Source organism: Homo sapiens, chromosome 14, assembly GCF_000001405.40.
Source record: "Homo sapiens chromosome 14, GRCh38.p14 Primary Assembly".
In the NCBI taxonomy this organism is placed as follows: Eukaryota; Metazoa; Chordata; class Mammalia; order Primates; family Hominidae; genus Homo; species Homo sapiens.
The window spans coordinates 97,675,681-97,688,773 of NC_000014.9; the positions used below are offsets into that span (position 1 = coordinate 97,675,681).

The following is a 13,093-nucleotide window of genomic DNA, read 5'->3' on the forward strand; positions in this document are numbered from 1 at the left end:
CTTGCCAGCAAGGGAACAAAAATGGACAGAGAATGAGTTTGATGAATTGACAGAAGTAGGCTTCAGAAGGTGGGTAATAGCAAACTCCTCTAAGCTAAAGGAGCGTGTTCTAACCCAATGCAAGGAAGCTAAGAACCTTGAAAAAAGGTTAGACGAATTGATAACTAGAATAACCAGTTTAGAGAACATAAATGACCTGATGGAGCTGAAAAACACAGCATGAGAACTTTGTGAAGCATACACAGGTATCAATAGCCAAATGAATCAAGTGGAAGAAAGGACATCAGAGACTGAAGATCAACTTAATGAAATAAAGCATGAAGACAAGATTACAGAAAGAAGAATGAAAAGGAATGAACAAAGCCTCCAAGAAATATGGGACTGTGTGATAAGACCAAATCTACCTACGATTGGTGTACCTGAAAGTGACGGAGAGAACGGAACCAAGTTGGAAAACACTCTTCAGGATATTATCCAGAACTTTCCCAGCCTAGCAAGACAGGCCAACATTCAAATTCAGGAAATACAGAGAACACCACAAAGACACTCCTCAAGAAGAGCAACCCCAATACACATAATCATCAGATTCACCAAGGTTGAAATGAAGGAAAAAATGTTAAGGGCAGCCAGAAAGAAAGGTCTGGTTACCCACAAAGGGAAGCCCATCAGACTAACAGCAGATCTCTCTGCAGAAACCCTATAAGCCAGAAGAGAGTGGGGGCCAATATTCAACATTCTTAAAGAAAAGAATTTTCAACCCAGAATTTCAGATCCAGTCAAACTAAGCTTCATAAGTGAAGGAGAAATAAAATCATTTACAGACAAGCAAAATGCTGAGAGATTTTGTCACCACCAGGCCTGTCTTACAAGCTCTTGAAGGAAGCACTAAATATAGAAAGTAAAAACTGGTACCAGCCACTGCAAAAATATACCAAATTCTAAAGACTATCAATACTATGAAGAAACTACATCAACGAACAGGCAAAATAACCAGCTAGCATCATAATGACAGGATCAGATTCATATATAACAATATTAACCTTAAATCTAAATGGGCTAATTTCCCCAATTAAAAGACACAGACTGGCAAATTGGATAAAGAATCAAGACCCATTGGTGTGCTGTATTCAGGAGACCCATCTCACATGCAAAGACACACATAGACTCAAAATAAAGAGACAGAGGAAATTTTACTAAGCAAATGGAAAGCAAACAAAAAAAAAAGAAAGAAAAAGAAAAGAAATCAGGAGTTGCAATCCTAGTCTCTGACAAAACAGACTTTAAACTAACAAAGATCAAAAAAGACAAACAAGGGCATCATATAATCATAAAGGAATCAATGCAACAAGAAGAGATAACTATCCTAAATATATATGCACCCAATACAGGAGCACTCAGATTCATAAAGCAAGTTCTTAGAGACCTACAAAGGGACTTAGACTCCCACACAATACTAATGGGAGACTTTAACACCCCACTGTCAATATTAGACAGATCAATGAGACAGAAAATTAACAAGGATATTCAGGACTTGAACTCAGCTCTGGATCAAATGGAACTAATAGACATCTGCAGAACTCTCCACCCCAGATCAACAGAGCATACATTCTTCTCAGTGCCACATTGCACTTATTCTAAAATTGACCACATAATTGGAAGTAAAACAGTCCTCAGCAAATGCAAAAGAATGGAAATAATAAAAAACAGTCTCTCAGACCACAGTGCAATCAAATTAGAACTCAGGATTAAGAAACTCACTCAAAACCACACAACTACATGGAAACTGAACAATCTGCTCCTGAACGACTACTGGGTAAATAATGAAATTATGGCAGAAATAAGTAAGTTCTTTGAAACCAATGAGAACAAAGACACAACGTACCAGAATCTCTGGGGCACAGCTAAAGCAGTGTTTAGAGGGAAATTTATAGCACTAAATGCCCACAGGAGAAAGCAGGAAAGATCTAAAATCGACACTCTAACATCACAATTAAAAGAACTAGACAAGCAAGAGCAAACAAATTCAAAAGATAGCAGAAGGCAAGAAATAACTAAGATCAGAGCAGAAATGAAGGAGATAGACACAAAAAACCCTCCAAAAAAATCAATGAATCCAGAAGCTGGTTTTTTGAAAAGATAAACAAGATAGATAGACTGGTAGCCAGACTAATGAAGAAGAAAAGAAAGAAGAATCAAATAGACACAATAAAAAGTGATAAAGGGGATATCACCACTGATCCTACAGAAATACAAACTACCATCAGAGAATACTATGAACACCTATATGCAAATAAGCTAGAAAATCTAGAAGAAATGGATAAACTCCTGGACACATACACCCTCCCAAGACTAAACCAGGAAGAACTTGAATCCCTGAATAGACCAATAACAAGTTCTGAAATTAAGGCAGTAATTAATAGCTGACCAACCAACAAAAGCCCAGGACTAGACAGATTCACAGCCGAATTCTACCAGAGGTACAAAGAGGAGCTGGTACCATTCCTTCTGAAACTATTCCAAACAATAGAAAAAGAGGGACTCCTCCATAACTCGTTTTATGAGGCAAGCATCATCCTGATACCAAAACTCCTGGACACATACACTCTCCCAAGACTAAACCAGGAAAAAGTTGAATCCCTGAATAGACCAATAACAAGTTCTGAAATTGAGGCAGTAATTAATAGCCTACCAACCAACAAAAGCCCAGGACCAGACAGATTCACAGCAGAGGCACAACAAAAAAAGATAATTTCAGGCCAATATCCCTGATGAACGTCGATGTGAAAATCCTCAATAAAATACTGGCAAACTGAATCCAGCAGCATATCAAAAAGCTTATCCACCATGATCAAGTCAGCTTCATCCCTGGGATGCAAGGCTGGCTCAACTTACATGAATCAATAAACGTAATTCAGCACATAAACAGAACCAATGATAAAAACCAAATGATTATCTTAATAGATGCAGAAAGGGCCTTCGGTAAAAGTCAACACCACTTCATGATAAAAATTCTCAATAAACTAGGTATTGATAAAATGTATCTCAAAATAATAAGAGCTATTTATGACAAACCCACAGGCAATATCATACTGAATGGTCAAAAGCTGAGAAGCATTCCCTTTGAAAACCAGCACAAGACAAGGATGCCTTCTCTCACCATTCTTATTCAACACAGTATTGGCCAGGGAAATCAGGAAAGAGAAAGAAATAAAGGGTATTCAGACAGGAAGAGAGCAAGTCAAATTGTCTCTGTTTGCAGATGAGATGATTGTATATTTAGAAAACCCCATCATCTCAGCCTAAAATCTCCTTAAGCTGATAAGCAACTTCAGCAGTCTCAGGATACAAAATCAATGTGCAAAAATCACAAGCATTCCTATACACCAATAATAGAGATCCAAATTATGAGTGAACTCCCATTCACAATTGCTGCAAAGAGAATAAAATACCTAGGAATACAACTTAAAAGGGACATGAAGAACCTCTTGAAGGAGAACTACAAACCACTGCTCAATAAGAGAGGACACAAACAAATAGACAAACATTCCATCCTCATGGATAGGAAGAATCAATATTGTGAAAATTGTCATACTGCCCAAAGTAATTTATAGATTTAATGCTATCCCCATCAAGCTACCATTGACTTTCTTCACAGAATTGGAAAAAAACTACTTTAAATTTCATATGGAAATAAAAAAGAGCCTGCATAGCCAAGACAATCCTAAGCAAAAAGAACAAAGCTGGAGGCATCACGCTACCTGTCTTCAAACTATGCTACGAGGCTACAGTAACCAAAGCAGCATGGTACTGGTACCAAAAGAGATATATAGACCAAAGAAATAGAACAGAGGCCTCAGAAATAATGCCACACATCTACAACCATCTGATCTTTGACAAACCTGACAAAAACAAGCAATGCAGAAAGGATTCCCTATTTAATACATAGTGTTGAGAAAACTGGCTAGCCATATGCAGAAAACCGAAACTGGACCCCTTCCTTACATCTTTTACAAAAATTAACTCAAGATGGATTAAAGACTTAAATGTAAAACCTAAAAACATAAAAACCCTAGAAGAAAACCTAGGCAATACCATTCAGGACATAGGCATGGGCAAAGACTTCCTGACTAAAACACCAAAAGCAATGGCAATAAAAGCCAAAATTGACAAATGGGATCTAATTAAATTAAAGAGCTTCTGCACAGCAAAGGAAACTATCATCAGAGTGAACAGGCAACATACAGAATGGGAGAAAAGTTTTGCAATCTATCCATTTGACAAAGGGCTAATATCCAGAATCTATAAGGAACTTAAACAAATTGACAAGAAAAAAAACAACCCCATCAAAAAGGGGGCAAAGGATATGAACAGACACTTCTCAAAAGAAAATATTTGTGCAGCCAACAAACATATGAAAAAAAGCTCATCATCACTGGTCACTAGAGAAATGCAAATCAAAACCACAATGAGATACCAACTCATGCCAGTTATAATGGTGATCATTAAAATGTCAGGAAACAACAGATGCTGGAGAGGATGTGGAGAAATAGGGACACTTACACTGTTGGTGAGAGTGTAAATTAGTTCAACCATTATTGAAGACAGTGTGGCAAATCCTCAAGGGTCTAGAACCAGAAATACCATTTGACCCAGCAATCCCATTACTGGGTATATACCCAAAGATTTACAAATCATTCTACTATAAAGACACATGCACACATATGTCTATTGCAGCACTATTCACAATAGCAAAGACTAGGAAACAACCCAAATGCCTATCGATGATAGACGAGGTAAAGAAAATGTGGCACATATACACTATGGAACACTATGCAGCCATAAAAAGGATGAGCTTCTGTCCTTTGCAGGGACATGGGTGAAAGTGGAAATGATCATTCTCAACAAACTAACACAGGAACAAAAGACCAAACACCACATGTTCTCACTCATAAGTGGGAGTTGAACAATGAGAACACATGGACACAGGGAGGGGAACATCACACATTGGGGCCTGTCAGGGAGTAGGGGGCTAGGGAAGGGATAACATTAGGAGAAATACCTAATGAAGATGACAGGTTGATGGGTGCATCAAACCACCATGGCACATCTATACCTATGTAACAAACCTATGTGTTCTGCACATGTATCCCAGAACTTAAAATATATATATATAGAAAGAAATTCAAATGAGGCCCAAGAAAACTGTGAGAGGATCCAAGGAGCACACTTTCCCAGCTAGCTTCCTGGGAGTTGAGTTCTGTGCATATGTCAACATTATCCATCGCTACAATATGTTAGATAATTGTCCTGCCACTCACTCATTCACTCATGCTTCCATTCCTTCATTCACTTGTTCATCCATGCTTCTATTCCTTCCTTTTTAGTGTGAGAAGACCAGACTGGTGTGGTACAAAGCCTGGCATGGACTCCATCTCTGCTCCACCTCTTACTGTGTAATTTAGGAATTTCATGTCACTTCTCTGTACCTGCTTCTTCATAAGTAAAATAAGACACATGATAATACCTAATTCAAATGATTTCATGATAATTAAGAAAGGTAAAGCAGCTAACATAATCCCTCATGCAAAGTCAGCATTAATAAATATTAAGTGTCATTATCATTGTTGCCCTTTCAATCACAGATATCTCTGGGTGTCAAACACAGTGTTTTGTGCTGAAATATAAAGCATAGATAAGGTGGCTTTGACCCTCAAGGAGTGCACATTCTAGTGCATTCTAGTGAGAGAAACTGATTTACAAAGAAGAACTGACACATTGTGGAAAAGTCAATAACATGTCTCAAACATTTTCTATTGCCAGATACTTTTCTATACATGTCATGTGAAATATATGTTATTATTTCATGTATATATGTGAAATGTCATTTTGTATATTTCTTGTATACATATGTATGTATGATATATTATACATATTTCACAGGTATCAACAAATTTAATTCTCACTCCACAGGAAGACTCCAGAAGACTAAAAAAATCTCACTTTGACAGGTAAATCAATGAAGTCAATGCATCTATAGAACTTTTTTTATTAGTTTGGTTTGTTTGAACCCATGACTGTTGTTTGCAAAACCTTTACAATTTTCAATTACAATTTTCAATTTTTTCCCATCTTTAGTCATCTATTCCTCACAAGAACCCTGTAGGATGGAGGTGGTTGTTATTTTTATTTGAGCTTTGCAGGGAAAGACACTGAGGCATGAGGAGTGCAAGTAGCAAGTTCAAGGTTACTGGAGCTAACGCAGATCCTATGTATTAGGACCTCTTCATATCCACAACCATCACCTCCATCTTCCTCTGAGATGCAACCAGCTAGAAAGGCAGAGCCACACCTTCCTGGGTTCATAACAGTTATACTTGGCAGCAGACTGCTCATTCCTTTAACCTTTTCCAGCTTATGCAGTCCATTCTTTTCTTCCTATATTTAATCTGTTACTGTCTTTGCATTTCCATTGCTTTTCTTGCTGGAGCCCCCTACTGCATTCTCTGGTTGTTTCTGATCATTTTTCTCCAGATACTTTTGTTTGCATTATTTCCAAGCTGCATCTCATTTTTAACTCATAATTCTAGTTTTGATGAGTTCCCTGTATTATGCTTTTCACTTTGATCGTGCTCCCAGGCCATTATGATTTAGGATATTCTTGGCAAACCTCATTAACCTGCTCTCAATTAATTAATGGTCCTGCAGAATCAGACCACACCCTTCCCACTTTGTACCCTGTGGACTAAACCCCTGGACAATTAGGCACCATCAATTTTATTACATTTAGGCTGTTTCTCAATGCACGTTATAGCTGGGTAACTGAGCTCATCTGCATTCCTTTGGTGAGTGCCAGTTTCAAGAGATGGAAGTTCACGTGTTCCTCTGCTTCCTTCATCTGGTTTTACAAACCTATCAAAAGGGAACCATTTCTCCCCCATAGCACACGTTATTATTTATAGGTCCAGACACACTGTTATTTTATGTTATGGTTCCGGATCTTTCAAATGTTTCCTGTATTCTTTGTTCTGTTGTTTCTCTTATTAGAAACTATCCTTTGATTTACTGCCTGGGATTGTTTTTCTTTTCTTGAACATTTACTAGCTGTCAGGCATCTGGTGCAAAGCCCTGTGTCTTCAAGGGCACAAGAAAGGGCAAGACCCTTGAGAAAGCAATTCTATGACAAAGAATATGGACAAACTGGCTTTCCCCATCTGACCACATGAATTTACTAAACACTTACCAATACCAGTCAGTATGGTGCAGTGTCCATGTGCAGAATCACACTTTGTTTGTGTAACAGCCCAGCAGTCAAGATCCACCAATCCTCCCATTTAACCAAGACCGAGGTGGGTGGATCACCTGAGGTCAGGAGTTTGAGACCAGCCTGGCCAACAATACAAAAATTAGCCGGGTGTGGTGGCAGGTGCCCGTAACCCCAGCTACTCAGGAGGCTGAGGCAGAAGAATTGCTTGAACCTGGAAGGCAGAGGTGCAGTGAGCAGAGATGGCGCCATTGCCCTCCAGCCTGGCAACAAGAGCAAAACTCCGTCTCAAAAAAAGAAAAATAAAATAAAATAAAATAAAATAAATAAATAAATAAATAAATAAATAAGTGCTGAAGCCAGGACTTGAACTCAAGTCTAGTTCTAATGCACATGCATTCAGCTTTCAGATGCCTCCAGTCCCTGCTTCACCCTATTCAGATGCACAGAGATCTTGTGTTGCCCCTGAAGATACTCTCACTCAGCCTTCCCTCTGTCTGCAGAGATGGCTTTGACAGCCCCACACCTACAATCTCCAGCTTCTCTTCTGAGCTGTGCTCAGGTAAGGTATCCAATGCCCTTTGCATTAGGGACTCCACCAACACATCTCATGGGAGTTTTAAAGCTTAGCATATAGTAGATTAAATGGTCAAAACACTAGGATGGGAAGAGATTGAAACTGGACTTGAGACCATCCATCAGTCCAAGAGGCACTGCTTTTAGTTACGTGATCCTAGAACAACCTGCCTACTTTGGTCATTCTCAGATTGGCTAAAACATATTTCTAATCTTGGTCGTCTATGCCATAAGCAGGGATGGTGGTGGCGGTAGGGATGTTAATGAGGGGAAGGTTGTGAATGTGCGTTGTGAACTCCAAAGTGTGGAAAATTGATTTTCACATGGTAAGCTCCAGTGCACAACGTCAGCATCCCTTTATTCAAAGCAATACTGAAATATAGTCATGGTTCCATGATGACCTGCAGATCTTCTTTACAGGTATTGTTGAATCCTAAAGCTCTAACTTTATAATTTAAAGCCCTTGAGTAGGATATTCTCACTGGGATGTCCCTCTGGTGACTTGAACTTGACAAATCCAGAATGAATCCTCAGCTCCCCTCTCTGCTTTGTCGTCTTTAGTACCACCTGTCTCAAAAATGAGCATCATTATCTGCCCAGACTGTGAGGTTAAAACCTTTTCCTCACTTCCCATGTGAGTCAAAAATTGTGTCTGGAAAATGCCTTTTAGACCCCTTCCCCCTTCTGTCCAAAGTTCACCCTCTTGGGTCAAGACTCTCATTTTTCACCTAGTCTCTTGATTTCCTGGCCTGCTGTCCTCCATCTACTGGTAACCCACTTGTGGTTTTTCTATACCTCAAATCAGTTACTGTCATCCTGTTCCCCAGATCCATCCTTCATGCTCAGCCTCCCTCCAGAGAGATCCCAGGTTCTCCAACAGGGAGGCCCTTTCATTCCTGGTCCAGGCAGATCTAATATCCGGGCTTGTCTCAGGCAAATCCATGCCTGCCCCTTACTCCTCAGGAGCCTGAACTTCTCACCCTTCCTCAGCAGAGCGAGGAGCAGCCCTGCATACAATGCTTTTCCGTCTCCAAGGCTGCCCCACTTCCCTTGCTTAGGGAACTCTTCAGCATCCTCAGGATCCACTCATGTGTCACCCTATGAATGACGTCTTCTATATCCCAAACTAGTCTTTCCTCTCTAGGTATTTTTTACCCCCACCACTTACATATTCATTCAAATTCTGTGCATTCATTTATGAATATTCATTGAACCAGACCCGCAGAAAGTGCTGGATATAGAGGTGAGAGGCTATCCTTTAAAGGGCTCAGAGTATCAGTGGGGAGATGGGTGAGGTCACAAAGCCTGAGAGCACAACGTGAGAGGGGCATGTCCTACCTCCCCAGATTCTGGGTCTCTTCAGGTACAGCTCAGTCACCAGCCAAACCCTCTGAACTGTGTGCTATGTGATATTTATATACACTTTGCAAGCAACTCTGAAAAATCATGATGTAGTATATAGACAAGAAAGATGGCAGATTCTAGGGCCAGCTGGAAGGTGGGAGAGTTGGATGCCATGGGGAAAGTGGAATCCCTGAACCTGGACCTTTCTTGAGGAATTTGGTGAGCCCTGGACCTAGGGGCAACAGGACACAATGGGCACACACTAACGTGGGCATCGGAGCCCTGTTTCTGGGCCCTGCGGGGTCCCATCATCAAGTGGTGACTCTTTGGCTTGAGGATACAATTAGATTTTGTCTTAGGCATTGTCCAGTGGCTTCTGCACTGTAAATATTTTATGACTCTCTCAAAACCTGTGTGATTAAAGAGTCATGTATGCAAACCCTTGATCTTGGCTGAACAGCTTCTCCACTCCCTAATTCTTTCTGACAATGCTTTTAAATAATAATGCTTTCCAATTAAAAAATACTTTCCTTATCTCTTTTTTCACTTTTGATTTGAAAAATATCTTAATTTTAGGTTCTTATTGTCTATTTCTATTCTGTTTTCATCACAGAATAGTCAGATTCACAGCTCAGAAGTTGGGCTGTCCGCCTTTTTGATAGGTGGCCAATTGATGTTCTCATCCTAAGTCAGCTCTCTGGGTTGCCTTTTCCATACTTAGGGAGGTAGGATTGTTATTAGTAGCAGAAGCAGTGACTGCATTCATCTATTAACTTCTGAATAGCAGGAATGGTGTCCTTTTCTTCCAGAACACACCCCTAGTGCTGACTAAGAAAGGGTGAACTACTGAACATATTAATAGAAGCCATTTAAATCTGCAACGTATATTAAGCATTTACATCTTTAAAATATTGTTTCCATTTATTTAATGTGAGACTGCTTATTTGTTTTCCTGCCTGGTGCTTAGCACTTAACAGGCAATCACTCATTCATTTTGCTTAACCACAAACCTATGTGCTGTTGTTATCTCCATGCTAGGGATGAGAAAACTGAGACTTAGAGAAATTAAATATTTTTCCTAAGGACCTTAAAACAAAAGTCTACTCTGTAGCCACTTCCTCCTCAGCTACCCCTTTGTTACCTTCCAGTTTGGATCCTGCCCCTATTGTTCTTATAAAACTGCTAGATGCAGGCTTCCCCGTGGCCTTTTGTTAGGAATTTGGTTTACCTGCTTGTCAAAGGAGACAGAAGTTTGAGAATGCATTAGCTTCCTAGGGCAGCCATAACAAAGTAGGTCATAAACTGGGTGGCTCAAAACAACAGCAATTTCCTCTCCCATAGTTCTAGAGGGTGGAAGTCAGAAGGCAAGGTCTTGGCAGGGCCATGCTTTCTCTCTTTACTTCCAGTTGTTACCAGATATCTTAGTCGTTTTTCTGTTGCTTGCAACAGGATACCTGAAACTGGGTAATTTAAAAAGAAAAGGCATGTATTTCTTACAGTCACGGAGGCTGAGAAGTCCAAGGTCAGAGGGCCATATCTGCTCAGGGCCTTCTTGCTGCTGGGAACTCTGTAGAGTCTCATGGTAGCACAGGACATCACATGATGAGGAAGTGGAGCATGTTAGCCCAGGTATCTCTTCCTCCTAATATAAAGCCACCCGTTCCCCTCCTATGATAATCCATTAACCCATTGATCCATCAATGGATTAATCCATTCATGAGGGCAGACCAATCACCTCTTCAAGGCTCTACCTCTCCATACTGCTACCTTGGGGATTACATTTCAACATGAGTTTTGGAGGAGACAAATCTTCACACCATAGCGTCATCAACCGTTGGTATTTCTTGGCTTGCCATTGCACAAATCTAATCTGTATCTCTATCTTCTAAATGTGTTCCCCTTCCTGTGTGTGTCTGCCTTCAAATTCCCTTCTTTCTATAAGAATACAGTCATACTGAATTAGGGACCACTCTCATAACCCCATCTCAATGAGATTGTATTGGTCAACACCCTAATTTCTTGGAAAATGTTGGTAACTTGATGCATGTAAACAAACTCTTTTGTAAGAGCCTCTGTCACATGGGGGCCTGCGGGCAAATTCTACCAAGCAGAGAACAGTTTTCACTGCAAAAACTCAAAGGAAGACAAGCTTGGTAATGAGAGCTAGCATTTATTGACCGCTTACTAGTGCCACGCATTATGCGGGTACTTGTGAAACATAATTTACTCTTCCCTGCAACCCTTTAGATATTAGCATGTCCCCCATTGAATAGATCAGGAAACTGAGGCACCAGACACATAGAAAGAAAGAGGCAGAGAAGGAAGACAAAGCAGGCAGTCTGGTTTCAAAAGCTCAGCTCCTGATCAATAAGCTCTACTCTCCCCTGGTCCTTTTAAAGAGGGAGCTTTTACTACCTGTCATGTTAATGTTGGGGATTCCCAACCCAATGAAGGCCTTCCCTGTTAGCAGTTAATCATTCAGTATATGCCTATATCCCTTTGCTAAGGATGTCATACAGAGTTTCACAAACTGGGTGGCGTTAAAAAAACCGGAAAGGCCGGGCGTGGTGGCTCACACCTGTAATCCCAGCACTTTGGGAGGCCAAGGTGGGCGAATCATGAGGTCAGAAGATCGAGGCCATCCTGGCCAACATGGTGAAACCCCATCTCCACTAAAAATACAAAAATTAGCTGGGTGTGGTGTTGCAGGCCTGTAATCCCAGCTACTCGGGAGGCTGAGACAGGAGAATCGCTTGAACTTGGGAGGCGGAGATTGCAGTGAGCCAAGGTTGCACCACTGCACTCCAGCCTGATGACAGAGTGAGACTCCGTCTCAAAATCACCCTAATTTCACTTGGGGATAAGTACATTGTTAGTGAAGAGGTCACCTGTGTAGAAAGAGTTAGCAGCGCCCACACTACTCACATGTTTTGTTTGGTTTTTGTTTTTAAGAGATGGAGTCTCATTCTATGGCTCAGACTGGAGTGAAGTGGCATGATCATAGCTGAATGCAGCCTCAAACTTCTGGGCTTAAGTAGTCCTCCCACCTAGATCTCCTGAGTAGCTGGGACACAGGCATGCACCACCATGACCAGCTAATTATTGTTGTATAATTTTTGTAGAGACAGAGGTCTTCTTTGTTGCCTAGGTTGCCTAGGTTGGTCTTGAACTCCTGGTTTCAAGCAATCCTCCCACCTCAGCCTCTCCACATGCTAGGATTACAGACATGAGCCACCATGCCCAAGATTGCATCACTGCCACAAGACTGTCACTCCTCATGTTGATCAGCACACCACACTCCCTTATGGACACATGAGCCTGTGTCATAATGTCCCCTGTGGTCCAAAAGATTCTGCAATGAGGCTACATGTCCTAAACTGAATCACTGTGAGATTAAAAAGTCTAAGTTTCAAAAAGTTGTTTTGGATTTGTGTAAAATACTTGAATTATGTCTCTTAACAACAGTAATGCTGAGATTGGCCCTTTGTGTTTCCTCGGTGCTAGGGTTCTGCTGCTCTTGGGACCCAGCCTGGTAGCATGACCCCCACTTCCCCAGCTCCCGCAGTCCTCCCAGCCTGTGAGTCACCATCGATTCTTCCAGAGAGGAGTCACTCTCATCAAATTTGAAACCTCGTGACACTCTATACCCAGCATCTGGCTCACCAATCATTTCCGGCTAGTGGGAAAGGTCCTGATGGTTCAAGGTTGAAATGTGATTTTAATAAAAATAATGCTAAAATGAGATTCGTGAGGAGTGCATTCTTTAGCTTATGGGAGTTGAGCAAATATTTGTGGCATCTAAATATTCGCAGCCTGACATTTGGAGACATGAACGCTTCCAAATCTCGTGGAGCAACTGATCTTGTTTTATTGCGCTGGCTCCCTCATTGCCATAGCCTTGACCTTGCCAGG

The 13,093-nt window shown here is 40.9% G+C and overlaps 2 long non-coding RNA genes across 3 annotated transcripts in view; one reads left to right on the top strand and one right to left on the bottom strand.

The window, feature by feature from the left end:
• Positions 1-10,978, bottom strand: part of LINC02291 (long intergenic non-protein coding RNA 2291) — a 54,012-nt gene extending 43,034 nt beyond the window's left edge. The window contains exon 1 of the long non-coding RNA NR_033943.1: positions 10,679-10,978. This is a non-coding gene — a long non-coding RNA (long intergenic non-protein coding RNA 2291). The remainder of the gene's footprint in view (positions 1-10,678) is intronic.
• LOC105370650 (uncharacterized) overlaps positions 1-12,923 on the top strand; it is a 25,973-nt gene extending 13,050 nt beyond the window's left edge. Inside the window, exons 3-5 of one of the 2 annotated variants that reach the window (XR_944183.3) lie at positions 5,941-6,008; positions 7,665-7,823; positions 12,686-12,923. This is a non-coding gene — a long non-coding RNA (uncharacterized LOC105370650). Of the gene's footprint in view, positions 1-5,940; positions 6,009-7,664; positions 7,824-12,685 lie in introns of those variants that run through there. The other variant, XR_001750867.2, reaches the window with a different exon arrangement.
• The last annotated feature ends 170 nt before the right edge of the window (positions 12,924-13,093 follow it).